This window comes from Homo sapiens, chromosome 14, assembly GCF_000001405.40.
Source record: "Homo sapiens chromosome 14, GRCh38.p14 Primary Assembly".
Lineage (NCBI taxonomy): Eukaryota > Metazoa > Chordata > Mammalia > Primates > Hominidae > Homo > Homo sapiens.
Window position 1 is genome coordinate 68,695,203 of NC_000014.9, and position 19,232 is coordinate 68,714,434.

Here is a 19,232-nt window from a genome sequence, read left to right on the forward strand (position 1 = left end):
TTCTGTGGACTCAAAACCCATGCCCCTCACTTGGACCGGGCCTTCCTCTTCCCGCTTTGTCCACCAGCCTCAAGTCCCATGATAGAATCTCCTGGATAGTGTTTCTTTAACTGGGCTCGAGCCCCACAGTAAAGTCTTGGTCCTCCGCCGGCCAGAGCCCACATCTCTGATTCAGCAACAGGGGCAGGTGTTCAGGGCAATCTGGGTTAGGTCCACTGAAAACCAAAGGAAATAACATTGGTCTGATTCAAGGCCTTCAGAAATGAGTCAGCCCCCGAGCCCATCAACCATCACTGTTACTCAACATCACACCCACGTTATTCATGAAGTATTGTCTTCAGCTTACTAGACAACAGAGCCCCACCAGACTCTGGGAGGCTGAGGATGACTTATTGGTCTGCTGTGGGCTCAACATCAAGTACATACCTTACCTCTGTCCAAAAACTGGAGTGGAAGAGCGCTGAGTCAGGAAGGCTCATGCCCCGAGGCGTCTTCCCACAAGCCTCTGGTCACCCTGAACAGTCTGTTCTGGATTTCACACCTTGGAAAAAAGTCCTCTATGAGTACAATGAGTGGAAAGAGTCTTAGAGGAAGAGTTGGGGCCAGGTGGCCAGGTATGTGCAGCACCTCTGCCCAGCCCTCCTTGGCCCACAGTCTTAGGCTGGTAGCCTGCATCCTATGCAATAGCCAATGTTACTCTTGTTTTTCATTCCTTCTAAATGATCCAACTGAGGACCTGCCAAGTTGAAGTTGGATGTGACTTTCCTTCCTATGGGGTAGAGGGGGACTTTTCTGGGTGTAGTGGGAAAACACTGTGGCCAAACACATGACTCTGGAGTCCCAGAGGCTTGGACTCAAAGTTCCAACCCTGCCATGTACCAGCTCAGCAAGTGACTTATCCTCTCTCAGCCTGTTTCCTCTTTGATAAAATGGGGATAATAACACTGTCCATCTGTAAGACTGTTGTGAGTTTTCAATGTCATAGTGCACATAAATGCCTGGCACCTCGTGAGTGCTCCCTCAACGGCCCTGCCAGTGTTGTTGCCACTGTTATTATTATTTTAGTTAGTACCACTCTCACTACCATTCTCCCTAGGCCGGAGTCTTCTTTCACATGAGACCCTTGTCTTCCTGATTCTGGTATCCTCAGCACACAGGCACAGTCGGGTGCAGTGAGTGGTAGTCCAACATAACTTCTGAAGGGGAGGAGCCCCAGAGAGAGGGAATGGCATGTTCAAAGGTCCTGCGGTGGGAAGGTGCATGGAAAATTTGAAGAAAATGGTATAGAAAAAAGTCCAATCATTAGCTACAGGCCCCCAGCAGCTGCTTTAGCCAATCCTCCAACCTCCTCATTGGCATGGCAAGACCACAGAAGCCTGGAGCCCTGATACCTACTCCAGCCCTCTGCTCCTCTCACTGACCAGGAAACTTCCCTTAAGACAGAAGCCCTAAGGTCATCTGAACCCCAGAAGACCCAAGGAAGCAGAAATATACCAAATGAAGATCCTGAGGCCTTTGTGTTTAGTTACCATAAAAAAATAAGTCCCCAAACCTGGCTATTTGTACTTGGCATTGGATAATTCGAAGGTGATTGAGGAAGGTACTGGGGAAGGAAGCCCAGGCAGGGGCTGTGGTTGCCAGGTGGGGAGGGAAGACTTTGCAAACTAACCCAAAAGCAAGCATGGGGTGCGTGCCTGTCTTCCATGTAGTTCCTAACCCCCTGCCCCCAACACGCCCATGATGCATGGGAGCAGCCCAGTGCCACCAACCACACTGAAGGCTTATCCTCCACTCCATCCCGCTCTTCTCCAACCTCCTAGAAAACTGTCTCTGTTCCCATCCTTCCTCTGCAAGAGCCTCCCTCAACTTAAGCTATTAGCCCTCCCAGGAGCACTTGCATTTAATAAAAACGAGGACCTTAACACTTCACAGGAGGGGCTTATTAATGGTTCCCTTTCTGGCTTTTGGAAACTGCAGGGAGCAAGGTTTCTGTAGCAGTTGGCTGAGCCCTCAGGGATGGGAAGACAGGGTCTGATGAGGCAGAATGCCAGTTAGGGACCAGGCCCAAGGTGGGTCTCCCCAACTCTGTCTTATGCCCTATAACCTAGCTACCCTCTGTTGGTGGTGGTGGCGGTGTTGGTGGTGGTGGTCAGGTTTGTTGAAATTAAGTGTACATACAATGAAATTCATCCATTTTAAAATACAGTTCTTTGAGTTTTAGCAAATGCATGCAGTTGTGTAACCATCACCACAATCAAGATACAGAACAGTTCCATCACCCCCTAAAATTCTGCAGGGCTTCATTATAGTCAACCCCTTCCCCCAGCCCTAGCCATTGAAAACTGCTCATCAGGTATTTTGACCCATTAGTTTTGCCTTTTCCAAAAGGCCATATAAATGGAATCATAAGGGGCATAGCACGGAATCTGCCTTCTTTCATTTAGCCTAATGCACTTGAGATTCGTCCATGCTACCTGTATCAGAAGTTCGTTTTCATTAACCCCGTTAAATAGTGGGCAAAGGACATGAACAGACACTTCTCAAGAGAAGACATGCATGTGGCCAACAAGCATATGAAAAAAAGCTCAACATCACTGGTCATTAGAGAAATGCAAATCAAAACCACAGTGAGATACCATCTCATGCCCATCAGAACAGCAATTATTAAAAAGTCAAAAACAACAGATTCTGGCAAGGTTGTGAAGAAAAAGGAACGCTTTTACACTGTTGGTGGGAGTGTAAATTAGTTCAACCATTGTGGAAGACAGTGTGGCAATTTTTCAAAGACCTAGAGGCAGGAATATCATTTGACCCAGGAATGCCATTACTGGGTATATACCCAAAAAGAATATAAATCATTCTATTGTAAAGACACATGCACATGTATGTTCATTGCAGCACTATTCACAATAGCAAGGACAAGGAATTAACCTAAATGCCCATCGATGATAGATAAAGAAAATGTGATACATATACACCGTGGAATTCTATGCAGTCATTAAAAAGGAACAAGATCACATCCTTTGCAGTTACATGAATGAAGCTGGAAGCCATTTTCCTCAGCAAACTAACACAGGAACAGAAAACCAAACACTGCATGTTCTCACTTATAAGTGGGAACAGAACAGTGAGAACACATGGACACATCAGGGGGAACAACATACACTGGGGTCTGTCAGAGGTGGAGTTGGGGGAGGGAGAGCATCAGGAAGAATAGCTAATAGATGCTGGGCTTCATACCTAGGTGATGGGATGATCTGTGCAGCAAACCACCATGGCACATGGTTTGTTGTTGTTGTTGTCATTGTTGTTTTGAGACGGAGTCTCACTCTATTGCTTAGGCTGGAGTGCAGTGGCGTGATCTCAGCTCACTGCAACCTCTGCCACCTGGGTTCAAGTGATTCTCCTGCTTCAACCTCCCGAGTAGCTGGGATTACACGTGCCTGCCACTGTGCCTGGCTAATTTTTGTATTTTTAGTAGAGACGGGTTTCACCATCTTGGCCAGGCTGGTCTTGAACTCCTGACCTCATGATCCACCCGCCTCAGCCTCCCAAAGGGCTGGGATTACAGGCGTGAGCCACCGCGCCCAGCCCATGGCACACGTTTACCTGTGTAACAAACCTGCACATCCTACACATGTACTCCTGAACTTGAAATAAAAGTTGAAGAAAAAAAGAAGTTCGTTTTTGGCCAGGCACGGTGGCTCATGCTTGTAATCCCAGCACTTCGGGAGGCTGAAGCGGGCAGATTGCCTGAGGTCAATGGTTCAAGACCAGTCTGGCCAACATGGTGAAACCCCATCTCTACTAAAAATACAAAAATATTAGCCGGATGCGGTGGCGTGTGCCTGTAATCACAGCTACTTGGAAGACTAAGGCAGGGGAATTGCTTGAACCAGGGAGGTGGAGGTTGCAGTGAGCAGAGATCGCGCCACTGCACTGCAGCCTGGGCGACAGAGTGAGACTCTGTCTCAGATAAAAAGAAGAAGTTCGTTTCCATTGATAAGTAGTGTTACAGTACATAGATGTGTAACAGTTTATTCATTCAGTAATAGAAGGACATTTGAGTTGTTCCCAGTTCTGGGCCACCATGAATAAAGCCACTATAAATATTTGTCCACAGGTTTTTTTGTGGACAGAAGTTTGTATTTCTCCAGTTAAATACCTTAAAGTTATATTCCTCACTTATATAATAAGTATATGCTTAACTTCATATCAAACTGCCAAATTGTTTTCCAAAGTGGCTGTTCTGTTTTGCATTCTCACCAGCATGTCTGAGAGTTCCAGTTGCTCCACATCCCCCGCCCCAGTACTTAATATTGTCAGTTTTGTGTTTTGAATGTTTTTTTTTATTTTATCCATTCCAAAATAATAATAGTGGTTTCTCATTATGATTTAAATTTAGTGATTAATTATGTTAAACACCTTTTATGTGTTTATTTGCTATTCATATTTCTTTTCTGGTGAAGTATATGTTCAAGTATTCTGCCATTTTTTAAAAAATGGATTGTTTGTTTTCTTCTTACTGAGTTTTGAGAATTTTTAATATATTCTAGACACAAGTCCTCTGTCAGATACAGATTTTGCAATATTCCTCCCAGTCTGCATAGAAGATTTGTCTTCTTACTTTGTTATCAGTGCCATTCTAAAAACAGAAGGTTTTAATTTTGATGAAATCCAATTTATAAATTTTTCTTTTCTGGATTGTGTTTTCAATGTCATATCCAAGAAATCTTTGCCTAATCCAAATCAGAAAGATTTTCTCCTGTTTTCTTCTTTCATGCTTTTAGGCTTTTTCTTTTGTACTTTCACTTATGTTTCTGTATTTCACATTTTAACATTTTACATTTAGGTCTATGATCCATTTTGAGTTATAGGTCAACATTCAATCTTTTTTCCTCTCTCTCCTCTTTTCTTTCTTTTCTTTTTTTCTTTTTTTGCATGGATGTGTAGATGCTCTAGCATCATTTTTTAAAGAGACTATCTGCCATGCTCTGAATGTATCCCCACAAAATTCATATGTTGAAACTTCATTGCCAGTGTGATAGTATTAAGACTTATGGCCTAGGCCAGGCACAGTGGCTCATGCCTATAATCCCAGCACTTTGGGAGGCCAAGGCAAGTGGATCATTTGAGACCAGCCTGGCCAACATGGTGAAACCCCTATCTCTAACAAAAAATACAAAAATTAGCCGGGCATAGTAGTACACACCTGTAATCCCAGCAACTTGGGAGGCTGAGGCGGGAGAATCACTTGAACCCAGGAAGTGGAGGTTGCAGTGAGCTGAGATCGTGCCACTGCACTCCAGCCTGGGCAACAGAGTGACACTCTATCTCAAATAAATAAATAAATAAATAAATAAATAAATAAATAAATAAATAAAAGAGTTAGGGCCTTTAGGAGGTGATTAACTCATGAGAACAGAGCCCTCACAGATGGGATTAGCACCCTTACAACAGAGGTGTGAGGGAGCTGTTGGTCCCTGTTGCCATGTGAGGATGCATCAAGAGGCACCATCTTGGAAGCAGACAACAGCCCTTACCAGACACCGAATCCACCAGTGCCTTGATCTTGGACTTCCCAGCCTCCAGAACCATGAGAAAATAAATCACTGTTTTTATAAATGACCCAGTCTCAGGTATTTTGTTACAGCAGCAGGAACAAACTAAGACCCCATCTGTCTCCAGTGAATTCCCTCTGTACTTTGTCAGAAATCAACTGACTATGCATGTGTATTTCTGCGGTCTCCATTCGGTTCTTCTGTTACAAATGTGTATCCTTTCACCAATTCCACTGCCTTGTTCACTCTAGCTTTATGGTAACTCTTGAAACCAGGTAGTGCGTGTCCACCTGGTCTCACTGTTGTCAGCCCCTGCTCTATGAGGCTCTCCTCTTTCCTGTGGTCTTTCAGGCCGGGCGGCAGAGGCTGGACAAAGCTCAGGGCCCTAGCATGGCCTTGCAGGCCCTTATGATGCAAACCTCACCAGCTCATCTTCTGTCACACCTGCCTCCTAGGAATACTGATGTGCTGATAGTTCTCTGCTTTTGTCTAGCACCATCAGGCCTCCAAGCTTTTGCCTGCCCTGTCACCTCTGCCTGGAAGGCCCCGTCTTTGGGCCCCGCACCACCCCTTTTTCTCTTCCTGGTTAGCTTGGATCATTCTTCAAGGTTCTAAAAAATAGATGCCTCATGAGAGACATCCAGGGGAACCCATATGACCTTCTCAAAAGTGTCCTTACCCAGGCAATATAGTACAGTGGCCAGAGAGCAGACCTGGAAACCAGCTGCCCAGGCCTGAACTCAGAATGTCAGAACCCACTACTATCACTACTACTAGGGCAAGTTACTTCCCTTCTCTGAGCCTCAGTTTCGCATCTATAAAACAGACATCATCAAAGTATCTCTTTTTTGGGGTGTGGTAGGGATTAAATGAGTCAATATATGTATAAATAAATACATGTACTTAAACATAAACTTACTATAAATGAATATAATAGAGACCCAATAAACTTGGGTTGTTATCATTTTTTTTTTTTAAGACAAAGTCTCACTCTATCGCCCAGGCTGGAGTGCAGTGGCGCGAACTTGGCTCTGCCTCCCGGGTTCACGCAATTCTCCTGCCTCAGCCTCCTGAGTAGCTGGGACTACAGGCACCTGCCACCACGCCTGGCTAATTTTTTGTATTTTTAGTAGAGACGGGGTTTCACTGTGTTAGCCAGGATGGTCTCCATCTCCTGACCTCATGATCTGTCCGCCTTGGCCTCCCAAAGTGCTGGGATTACAAGGGTGAGCCACTGCGCCCAGCCGGGTTGTTATCATTATTTAAGGATTGAGACCCCTTTTGATGTTTGCTGCTGTCAAGAAAATATGTGAGCACAGCTTCTTCCCCCACTTTGTTACCGCCCCACACACACTCAGGCAGGGGTCAAGGCCACCTGAGCAGCTAGATGCAGCCACTGAGGCCCCAGCCCCCATTGTAGAGCTGCTGCTTCTAGGAGCCACATGCCAGGGAGCAAGCAGCAGTCAGCACTGGAAACAGGCTACCCCAGCCTCAGTCTCCGTGGGTACCACTCAGGTGCCCAGCACTGCGGGAATCCCTGCCTGAGGCAGCCTGGGCTGGGAGTTCACACCTTGATGCCCCAGGGTCCTTGGATAGTGATGTGTCAGTAACACTTCAAGCAACCAGACGAGCTGCTCTGCAGGGAAGAAGCCCACTTGCAAGGGAGCTGGACATTCCCCCAGCCCTGGGAAACACAGTCCTGCTTGCTCTTGAGGTTGGGTCCCCATGAGAAGGGGGTCAAGAAAGGACCAAGAGCATCACGGGTTTTTTCTAGAGCAGAGGAGAGCCCTTAAAGCAAAGAGACTATCTGTACACGAGAGCCACTGAAGTGCAGAAGGAAGGCCAGGGGAGGGGCATGGAGGCAGAGACAGGGGTTCAAGCCCCAGCTCCCCTTCACTGTGTGAGTTATTTAATTTCCTGAGCTTTAGGCTCCTCCTCTCTCCTAAGAGGATAGCGCCACCTCCCTTAAGGGGTACCTGTGGCTGTATGGAGCAATGGGAGAGCAAAGAGGAAACCCTGGTGCATCCAGCCTTCCTTCAGAGACGGAAGCCACAGGCCCAGCCAGGAGATCTACCCAGGGTGGACCAGCACATTTCTGGGAGTCCAAGTCAATGCAGACAGAGGGCTCTCTAGGGAACAAAGAACTGAGAAGAGGAAAACCACCTCTGGCTCTTGGTGAGCCTGCCAACCTCCTGCAGCCCCTCATAGCCCAGGACCCCTGGAGGTGAGCCTGACTCTCAGCCCTGGCACTGGAGAAACTCACTCTTCCTTGCCCTATTGGTCCCCATTTCCTTTTTCCTTGGGCCCCTCTTCTTCTAGCCTGGGCAGAGCTGAGGAGGACAGTGGGGGTTCAGGCCGCCGCCAGGCTGGGGAGCTCCCTGCAGGGCTGGGAGAATAGGATGGACAGCGTTTTGCCAGAGCCTCATGGGAAGCTTCCTTTCAGGCAGCTGAACCCATTTCAGGGGTAGGGAGCACTGATCAGGGGTTGGGACATTGCCCCGGGAGGAGGATGAGGATGTTTCCAGGCCTCGGCTGACTCATGGTAGTGAGTATTAGTCACTCCCTCACAAGAATCAGCCCACATCCTCTAGTAGCCTCTTGTCTCCCAGAGGCCCCTGCCCCATGTTTACCTGCCTGAAGCTCCTCTCCCGGCCGCCCCCACCCACATCCGCACAGTTTGGGCAGACACAAGAGCCCCGCATCACTTTTCACTCGAGGCTCCTCTGAGACATCAGCTTCCTGCAGGAGAAATCTTCAGGGGGTTTCTCTTACAGATTTGGGGGTCAAAGACTGGGTTCCAATCGCAGCACTGCTGCCTTGTATCTCTGCTTCCTGGGCAAATTATGTCACCAATCCGGACTGTTGGGGATATTTTCCCCGAAGAGTAATAATAATATTATCTAGTAGGATTGTTGTGACAATGAAATCATATAAAGTGTGAAAGTTCCTGGCACAAAATAAGTGATCGATGCATGGTAATGAACACTATTATTATACATCAATAAAAGAAAAAAGGTCCCTTATATATAGCATTTTAAAAATAAGGTAACAAAACCCTTGGCCCCTTGGCCCTGTGAAACTGTGGGCTGACATGGAACAAAATAAAAGCAAGTAGAGGGCCAGGTGTGCTGCCTCACACCTGTAATCCCAGCATTTTGGGAGGCTGAGGTGGGAGGATCATTGGAGTTGAGGAGTTGGAGACCAGCCCAGGCAACATAGCAAGACTCTGTCTCTGCAAACAATTAAAAACTGAGCTTGGTGTGGTGGTGCACACCTGCGTCTGTGGTCCCAGCTGCTCGGGGCTCTGAGGTAGGAGGATCACTTGAGCCCAGGAGTTCGAGGCTACGGTAAGCCCTGATCGCGCCATTGCACTCCAGCTTGGGTGACAGAGCAAAACTCCATCTCTATTTATAAAAAAATTAGGAGATGGGGGGAGCAGGTAAAAGATTTCCTCTATTTTCATCCAATATCCCCTGGCTGTAGAAACTGCCCCGCAGCCCCCACTGGGGAGGTCAGGACAGCAGTGAGCAGTGAGACCCCGGACACTCCAGGGAACTGTGGCTCCGCAGGAGGAGCCCGGAAGGGGCGGAGAGGCCACAGATGTGGCTTGAGGATAACCATCCACTCAGGTGAGGGAAGCCCACTTGAGCCCACCTCTCAAACATAAGGCCCCCATCCCTGCTGGCCCCATCCCTTCTCACCGAAGCACGGTTTCTCTGCCTCAGCACTGCTGACACTTTGGACAAGTTATTTTTTGTTAAGGGGCTGTCCTGGCCATTGTAGGATGGCGAGCAGCGTCCTCAGCCTCTACACACTAGATATCTGTAGCACTCCTTCCCCCTGCCAGTTGTGACAACCAAAGATTTCTCTGGACCTTGCCAAATGTCTCGCCCTACACCCCCACCATGAAGAACCACTGCTGTGGACGGTAGGCTGGTCCCTTGGTCTCCCCACCTTCATCCCCCACCTCTCCTGGGCCTTCTCCCCACCTCACCCGAGCCTCAGGCCTGGCTGAGGTGTCTCCCCCAACACACACTAGAGGAGGCAGTGCCAACCAGCCACTGCATCTCAGGAAGGCCGCCTGGCCCAGTTGCTGGGAATCAGAACGGAGAGGCTGGCTCTGCAAGCCAGGACAGTGCTGAGTCAGGGAGCGATCAGTGGAGGAGTCTGGAGGGTGAAGGAGGAATCAGTGCCTCAGAGAGGAGCCAGGAAAGGCGGAGTAAGGCTGAGACAAGGCCACAGGTGGTGGTGTGTGAATCCTGACCTGGGCACTTTCTGCTTGGTCAGACAGTGACCTGGGGATGCCACCGGGAGCTGAAAGGTTGCTCAGAGCCCTAGTGGCATGGCGCTGCCTCCCAGCAACCCTGAAAAGTTCAGGCCCAGGCTCAGCCCCAAGAATTCAGGAGCCCCAGGCTGGATCAGGAAGGTGACAGGGACTGAGTTCAGAGTCTCGTGTGGATCTGGGGCCTCGGGCATCAAGCTCTCAGTGCAGTGGGTTACATAAGTGCTCTCTCTCCAGCAAAGAAAGAGAAGAGAGCCCTGAGAAGGAGGCATCAAAGGAGGAAACTGGCAAGCTTCACAGGGGAGGAGGCTTTGGAGCCAGTTTTGTCAGATGACAAGGAGTTCACCAGACAGAGAGGCAGGTGGAGGAAGGGCATTCCTGGGAAAGGGCGCTCACAGTCCACGTACAGGCAAAAGGTGCCCAAAGAACAAGGAAAGGTCAGCAGGTCCACTTGGCTGCTTCAGAAACCCTGGTTCAGCCCTTGAGTGACGGGGAGTGAGGGTGAAGTGGGTCTGTTTCCCATGGGAAAGTGGCTGGCTGGCAGCGTGAGAATAAATGGCCAGTTCACGTAATGTCTCCCTTCCCCATTCTCCCCATCAATGAAGTTCAGGTCACCTTGATGCAAGGTCAGCGTGTGCCGGGGTGAGCTAGCTAGCCATAGTTCCTGCAGGAAACCTAAGCCCAAGTATGCCTTGGCCTTGGTCAGTTTCTCAGGGAAGACACCGAAGCTCCCCTGCCTGCACAGTGTCACTTGGTAGCAGTCGCTTGGCCCAAGACCTGCGGTCAGGAGGCCTGCAGTCATGTGTTTGAAATAGGGTCTGACTGCACTTGCTCGCCCTGAGTACCCATCATCCTGCCGGGGGGTTAACATTCTCCCTTCCCACAATGCACTGGTCCACTGGGCCCACACCTTTCCTCCAGGTCACCCTGGAAAGTCACCATTGCTGTAAGCCCAGCCCTAATTAACCCTAGGGCAGGGAGAAGATCAGATCAAGCAAGAGTACCCAGAGCCAGGCCCTGGCTGGAGGAGACTCCGCCCCCCTGCCCTGCCCCTGTGGGTCTGTCCCGTCCCACCCAGTCCCAGGAAAGGGCTGGGACTGTTTCCATTTCCAACCTGTCTGGGCCGCTCCTTTCTTGCCCAGGTGGCTCTGCTGGGAAAGCCTATAACAGCTGAGCGGGCTTTTCAGGATTGGCTTGATGCCAGGGCCAGGGCGAGGGATGACCTGGCCACATAGCAGTCATCGCCTGTGCTGCTGAAGTGCTTTTCTTCAGAGGATCTCAAAACGTTTTACCAGAAACAGGAGTTGTCCCAGCTATGAAAGGACACAGAAAAGAAGGGTCACTCACTAAGCTGCTAACAGCTTTGGCAGTAGAAGTCTTCAAAAGACTGGCTCCAAGGGAAGTAAACAACAGAATCCAAGGCTAAAATTGTATCCTTAATAAATACTATCTGAAGTTAAAACAGGAGTTCACTATTTATGGAAATCTACATAAACCTAATAAGCACAGAGTGGTGAATGTGCGTGCGTGTGTGCGTGTGTGCGTGTGTGTGTGCATTCAGGGAGGGAGTGGAATAGAACAAGATGTGGCACTCACTCTCTTCCTCCCTGTCCCTTCCTGTGGTCACACTTCTCAGGGTGCACCTCACATGAGAGTATTGCCTCTGGGATTCTGTACCCATTGTTGCCTTCTCCTCCTCTAGGCCCAGCAGGGCCCAGGTCTCCCACTTGTGAGGAGACAGCCACTGTAAGCCATCTGTCCTCTTGCAAGATGAGACCATTCCTTTGGAATGTCCTTCTGGTCACCTTCCTCTCCCACTGCCACAGACCCTCACCACCTCATGCTCAGTTCCTCACACCTACTCATTCGTGCACTCTTCCTGCCAGTCTTACGTGCCATCACCAGATTCATCTTCCCAAAATCCTGCCAAAATTAGCCCCTCATCCTTGTCCAAAGGACATTGTCCAGATTCCTGAGCAGAACCTTCAAGACTCTTCCCCAGACTGATCTTCCACCTCCGGTCCTCCCCAGCATGAAGTCTCCTCAAGATATTTCATTGTCTGCTTGCTAGTCCCACATGTGCCTGGAGTCTTCCGCCCTTTCTGCCCTTCCAGATCCTTCCCACCATCCTTAGGAACCAGCCCTGCCAGGAAGCCTTCCTATCACAAGGCCCCTTCCAAAGACTGTTACTCAGGAGATCGTGTTACCTCCTTGGGTTCAAATCCAGAACTTCTCCTTCTCGAAAGGCCTCATTATCTTACTTCTTATGGACACACTGCCTGGGTTATGAGCTGTCTTCCCAGATAAATTAGGTTGCCAGATTTAGCAAATAGAAACACCAGACTTCCAGTTAAACTTGAATTTCAAATAAAGAACAACAAAAAAATAGTGTTAGTATATGCCATGTAATATTTGGAACCTACTTATATTAAGAATTGTTTATCTGAAACTTGAATTTAACTGGGGATCCTATATACTCTCTGGCAACCTTACAAAGAAAGCATAAGCATGGAGCTTTCCATCTCCCTCAGGCTCTGACACTCAGAGGAGTTCTCAGGACCTGTATCGTTGATTAATTATTTTTTTGATTTAGCAAAGACTCCTTGGCTTTCATCTGCTCTTGGTTCCAAGACCCAGAGCCTACTTAAATCCCTTTGGTCCACTTGAATCATCTGCAACAAACCCATAACAGGCCATCTAAGAGAATATCTTCCTTTAGTACTTCATGTTCTCCTTAAACATTCATCCTCGAGACACGCTAGCAGCAGATGGGTTTCAGGCAATAAAACCTCGAGTGTTTCTTGCTAACCAAAGGAGGAAGGAGTTCTGGAGCCAGGATGCTTGATTTCAAATCCCAAGTCAACCACATGTGGTCCTGAGGCCTCAAGCAAGAGATTTACATCTCTAGGTCTCAATTTCCCCATCTATAAACCGGCAATCATAGCAGGACCTACCTGACAGATTGCTGTGATAATTAAATGAGATAGTACTTGGAAATTGGTGAATACATGACTCTTACATGGAAAGCACTCAATAAATGGCACCTGACATTGTCAGTGATTTCCTAAGACTGCCAGTGGCTGCTGGCATGGGCACAGTCTCCTTTTGGGATCTCTTTCGCTAGCTGCTCACCAAAATAGTGGTCATGTGTGAATCTCCATAAGCAACAGAGTTATGGCAGAGTCACAGAGGAGGGTCCCCTGGTGAAGGTTCTCCGTGGGGAACCCCCATCTCTAGGTGAGGTAAAGCAAGACATACAGGGACTTCCTCAAGAGTATGGTCTGTCCCTAATTCTCCAATTAAACTACAAATCATTGTCCTCCCTTTTCAAGTTCACATCTTTAAAAGACTGGTAAGAGCTGCTCTCCTTGATGAAGCGGGTGGCCGGTTTCAGACCCAACTGGATGTGGACAGAGGAAAAGCTACCACTGGCCTTCTTGGGACTCTCTGGGTGAACCTCGGGGATTCAGTGGAGAGAGATCCCTTGCCCAGATCCTCCTGCATCCTACCAACCGATCCTCAGCCTCTGAGGCCACCAGGCGGCTCCTGAACCTCAGCATGGGTGGGGTGCCTTGGGCTTTTCAAGGAGACTCTTGGTCAATTCAACAAAAGTTCAATTGCCAAAGGACCAATTTGCTAAATGGCAATTCTTTGAGTTCATGAAATTCACAAATTTCATAAGAATTATTTGAATATTCTCCATAAATATCTGTTTCTTAACAGCAATTTAAAGAATATTCAATTTGTCAAAAGCTCAGAGGCCTAGAATGGTTTAGTTACCTTATAAATATGTTCTTTTTGAATATATTTTAATGTGTCATTTTAATGAAAATATTTTCTTTTTCTTATGAATATATTTGTAAGAAATATATTCATGAAAATATATTTAATCAAATAAGAATACATTCCTAATGCATAGTTACTAACACATTCAGGCAGAACACAATCAGATGTTCATGGAGAACATAGTCATTGAATATGTTTCAAAAAATCATTGTTTCAAAACAAGGTTTTGACCTATTGGCAAATTCAAAGAACTGGTGAAATGACTCCTAAGTAAGTTGACTTTCAGAGAATTGGCTGCTTCTCATGAGGGAAAATCAATTTCTGCTTCTTGTTGTCATCTGTTTACAATTTGATTCTGAGAACTTCTAGAACAGTGGTTCTCAAACATGAACGTGCATTAAAATCACTGCAAAGCTTGGCTGAACTGCCAATTCTTGGATGATGCCCCAAAGGATTCTGGTTCTAGGTGGGGCAGAGCCCAGGAATCAGCTTGTTGAGTACAATTCCAAGGTCACTCAGACACCACCAGTTCCCACACCTCACTTTGGGAGCAAGTTGAGCGTAATGAAGAAAATGGTTAATCATGAGATGTTGCTATAATATTCTAAGGTAGGATTTTTTTCCTTCTCTTAGTGTGCTTGAAAATTACATCCAGCCTTAACACTAATATTGTAAGATAATCAAATTACCTACATCTCACCATTCTTTTTGTGTGTTTGAGACAGGACCTGTCTGTATCACCCAGGCTCTGTATCACAAGTATAGCTCACTGCAGCCTCAAACTCCTGGACTCAAGTGATCCTCCCACCTCAGCCTCCAGAGTAGCTACGACTACAAGCTCACACCACCAATCCCACCTATTTTTTGTAGAGACAGATCTTGCTATATGGCCCAGGCCAGTCTCGAGCTTCTGGCCTCAAGTGATCCTCTTGCCTTGGCTTCCCAATGTGCTAGATTATAGGTGTGAGCCACCGTGCTTGGCACCTATACCTCATTATCCTAACATAATTATCTTTTGCAAACAGCCTTCAACATGCATGCCAACTGATTGCCAAAGGTACATACTGATTTATATTCTACCTTTTCTGTTTACTATGATATAAGAGACATCTTCCACTATGTGGCAAAGGCATTGTCATTATCATTTCTAATGTTTAAATAATATACCACACACAGATTTCCTATAACTTGCACAATTAGTCCTCTAATATTTTATATCTTCTATGTGCTGTATCATTTCCAATTTTTAAGCACAGTGAACATCTTCAAACATGTAGGTTTTTTTTGCTTCTGTTGAATAATTTTTATAGAATTCATTTCCAGAACTGGAATTAGTGGTGTGGTAGGAATCTACAGTGGTTCCCTACAGTGAGAACGCAGTAGAATAAGGACCAAAGACCATTCCTGGGATGACATGAAACATGAATATTGTAATCCCCTATTAAGCCACTTTCTTGAAGCTCTAGGATAAAGGTCACAGTTGGTTTTACAGATCAATTTAAGGTCAGATCATTGAAGAAGTTAGACAAGCAGGGGTTATGAGCTTCTTATAGAATCATGATTTTAATGTAGCATGTGGGGAAGACCTGAGACACTACAGGTACTTAATGTGTTCCAGTATTTGATGCATAATAAAGATACTGCACTTAGCTCATTAACAGCCTGGCATAATTGAATTGCATCATTAAATCATTAACACTCCTTGCCACACCACCCAACATGTCTGGGAACTATCCAGAGGCGTCCCATTGAGTCCTAAGACCTTGGGAAGAGTAGAGCCAACTCCCCCAATTCTCATCCTGCCCTTCCCCAGCTGCTCCACCAGTAGAAGAGGGAAGTGGAGGTCTGGATGTAAGGAAGACCATTAGCCAAGTCTCACCTCCTACCTAGGGCTGCAGTTGTGACAGTGTGCCGAGGAACCACGGAAAACCGGGAGGAAAAAAACTGGTTGCTCTCCAGATGTGTAATGTGAGGAAGTTATTCTGATCTCGCTTCCTCGAAGATGGGATCTTTGTCTTATTGACACCTCAGTAGGTGTTCCACAAATGGTTGTCCACAGAGTGAATGAATGGATGGCCTTTGCCTAGGCTCATACTGATACCCCAGGCTGCCTCTCCCTGATGTATTCTGTAGGGGGCACTCTCACTTCTGCCTTCGCCGCAGCCACCACTGGAGAAGTAGGCACCTGTGTCTCCATCCTGGGCAGCGCTGGTCTTGGCTTTACTTATCTCCTGGATCTGGTGTTTTGAACCTGACAAAAGGCAGGCATGTGGGTACATTAAAGCACAAACAATGTGCAGTACGTTTATTTGCTGGATGACCATTCCAGCCATTCCAAAGTCCCACTTGAGTGGGGCATTACAGGAACATCCTCCGTCTAGAAATCTGAGCCCTGGTTCTTCTTCTTCAACTGTCTTCTCTATCTCATTCCACCCTGCTTGAGTTCTCCCGCCTGACTGTGCAAGCAGCCTCTCCCTTCAGACCTCTACCTCCTCTTCTGAGATCCAACTACCGCAGCTAGGAAGTCCATTGTAAACCCAGAACCAAGGATGTTTTCCTTTTCCCTGTTTCCTGCTTTTCAACAATGCACAAAACCTCTTTGAGCCTCAGACTGGACTGCCCAAGACCCACCTCCTACAGCACCTAAATCTTCAGCTCTTATTCTCCAGCAATAAGAAATCAGTTCCATACACGTTAAGAGCTTTGGTCCCGGGCCTCAGACCAGATCATTGGTCCCATCAACCTCAGACCATATGTTCACGTGAGGACAGCAGGTGGGAGGCCACCTGCCTTCCCCCATCTGCTTGCCCTGCCTGGGATACTGAAACACAGGTAAAAAGTGGAGAGGCATCTTCCTGTCCCAGCCCAGCTGCTGAGAGGTGAACTAGAGAGGGCGGCCTCGATCCAGTCGGCCCAGATTGAGGCCCAGACTCAGACACCTCCGGGTTCCCACGCTCAGGCAGCAGGCCTGAAGCAGAACTGGTTTCATAATCTCACCTCTGCCCAGTGCTTTTTGCAAAATGATCTGCCATTTGGTTCCCACATCACAATCATACTATTTATCTATGCAAAACAGCACCTCATTAAAAAAGGATGAAACACATCACCATTGGCCCAACCCCTCATTAAGGTATAACGCACAGGCCCTAGGCACACCCAGGGTGGAACCAGCACCCAGACTGGCCAGGGTGTTAGGCCCATGTCACTAGCTCTGTCCCCACCCTCACCCCATTCCTCCTAAGTGAGCTGTGCTGCTCCTCAAATCTGTGTGGTGAGAGATGACAGAGAAGGAGTCCTTTGGAACTGAGAGATGGGTTCACGGGGGGAGCCCCTCCTCCAAGAGGCCTTCTCCCCTGAACTATTATCTCTACTTAAACCTCTTCCTCTTGCCTTCAGCCCAGCTTCTACAATGATATTTGCTGACTACTGACATATTTTTACCTTTGTTTCTCACTAGAACGGAAGGGCCCTGAGCAGATGAACCGTATTATGTTTTTCAGGGCCTAAACCAGTGTTTGGCACACCGTAGGTGTTCAGGAAATACTTGCAAAATGCTCAATTTAATTTTTGACTTCATGATAAGGAATTCCATGATTGTTTTTCTGCCAGATGGTTCCCCTCCCATTCTCACTGGAGATACACCACCCCTTTGGTTGTGTTAAGCAATGCTTTCTACCCTTGACACCCAGGGTCTCAGGAATAAAAGTTGAAATGCTTGCATTTTGAAGAATAATCTCATGCTTTTTGTATTATCTCAATGACTTTAATTTACTGTGCAACATTTAGGACATACAGAAAAGAAATAAGAAAAATATCACAGCCATGTACTCACCACCCAACTTGAAAACACCCAAAGCATGATCACTACAACAGAAGATCCCAGGCAATTCTGATGCCAGGCACCTATCCCCCTTTCTCTCCTTCAGAGGAACCTATATCTCAAACGTGATGACCATCTGAATTTTTTACAGTTAATTTTTTAATGTAATAGATATGAGGTTTGCCATCGGTGTGTCCTTCAGGCTGAAGTCAGACTGTGTTCTCAACCCGGCCCGGCCCGCACACCGCACCTGCTCTGTGCCCCAGTTTCTCTATCTGTAAAGTGGTGATAATAATACCCGTCTCTTCCCCACTTCTCTGAGTGTGCAGATGAGTGAGATAAATGTAAAGTGCTTGGAGCGTCAGGAGAGAGAGGCTTTAGACAACCCCAAGCAGGTAAGTAGTGCAGGAAGCGCCAGCAGGCCTCCACCATGGGTTTCTCATGGCCGAGAAGGGTGTGCTGATCTGCTCACCTGCCTGCGCCCCGACCCCGGACACCAGCTCATTCACACCAGCCAGCCAGCTCCACCTTCCCTCTATGGGTAGCCCTTCTTTGGTGCTTCTGGGATCCTGGAGCTGAGACAGCCAGCAGCCCCCTCTGACCGTAGAGGACCCATTTCAGCCACAGAATTGGCAACCTCTCACTGTGCTGCCTTACGGTCCTTCCTCTCTCCTTTCCTGTCATTCTGTGTGCCAGAGTTGTGCTGTCTACACAGCAAGCTCCTAAGCAATGGTGGTGATCAGGCTATGTATACTCCCGAAGAAATGGGGAAGAAAGGGTCAGCAGCCATGTCTGAGGCTGGTGTGAACGTGCTGAGTAAACAGGCCAGCGAGATCTACAAAGTTTAAGACTCCCTGCTCCCAGGACCAAAAGAGACAAACAAGGTTGAAAAGCACAAACTCAACATTTTTAAAAACCATAAAATGAGACAATTCCCACCTAAGGCCATCTCTCATATATTCACACCAGAGGGCTTCAAGTGTGGGAATTGTGTCGGGAGAAGCAGAGCAAAAGCTGGCTAGCCGGTCCACAAGGCTCGAGATGGGGGATACGAAGGTAGGATGGTCAATGGACAGAGGCCAGAGGCAGAGGCTCATCCAAGACATCACTTGACTAAACCAGTAGAGACCTCTGAAGCAGTACAACAGTGTGGTCAAAGAAAATGGCAAGCTTGGTAGGTAAAAGAGTTTGCTGACACAGATGTTATCTACAGTGGAGAAGTCACTGTCATTAGAAAATATTCCCCCATTTGCTAAATGCTTTCAGCACTCCAGCCGGAGAGGCGATTCAGAACGCTGATGTTGCAGATAAGTGCAAGGATGGGAGGAGCTGCGGCTCCCGTCCTTCAATCTCAAGAATCCTGCCAATTCCAAGCACCCACGCTGTGTCTACGGTTCAGGACAGCCCTGGAGGAAGATGGTGCTCCCAGAAAAATCCCAAAGAGGTGGTCCAGAAAGCTGGCCACCAACAAGGGGCACTGACAGGAGAACTGGAGGCTTGGATCTCTGACCTAGGATGTCAGGAGCTGCCACAGATAAGAACTGAGAGAGTCAGGGCTGGAAAGCAGGGCCATTACTGGGAAACTTCCAGTGGAAGAGAAAGAATCTTGAGAGATGGCTGAGGGAATTGAGTTCTAGACCTAGATCTGTGTGACCTTGAGTCAGTCATTTCATCTCTCTGGGCCTCAGTTTCCTCATTTGTAACATCGGGGGTTGGGTTGGATTACGTCTAAGGTTCTATCACATTAACATCCTATGGACAGCATCAGAGAACAGGGAGGGGA

The 19,232-nt window shown here is 47.6% G+C and overlaps 1 annotated feature.

Annotated features, from left to right (window-relative positions):
- Positions 9,669–10,192: an enhancer, noted in NCBI's record as "H3K4me1 hESC enhancer chr14:69171588-69172111 (GRCh37/hg19 assembly coordinates)". NCBI's record gives its function as "activates a minimal SCP1, AML or CMV promoter by ChIP-STARR-seq in primed H9 embryonic stem cells {active_cell/tissue: H9 hESC(primed)}" and the evidence as "EXISTENCE:reporter gene assay evidence [ECO:0000049][PMID:30033119]".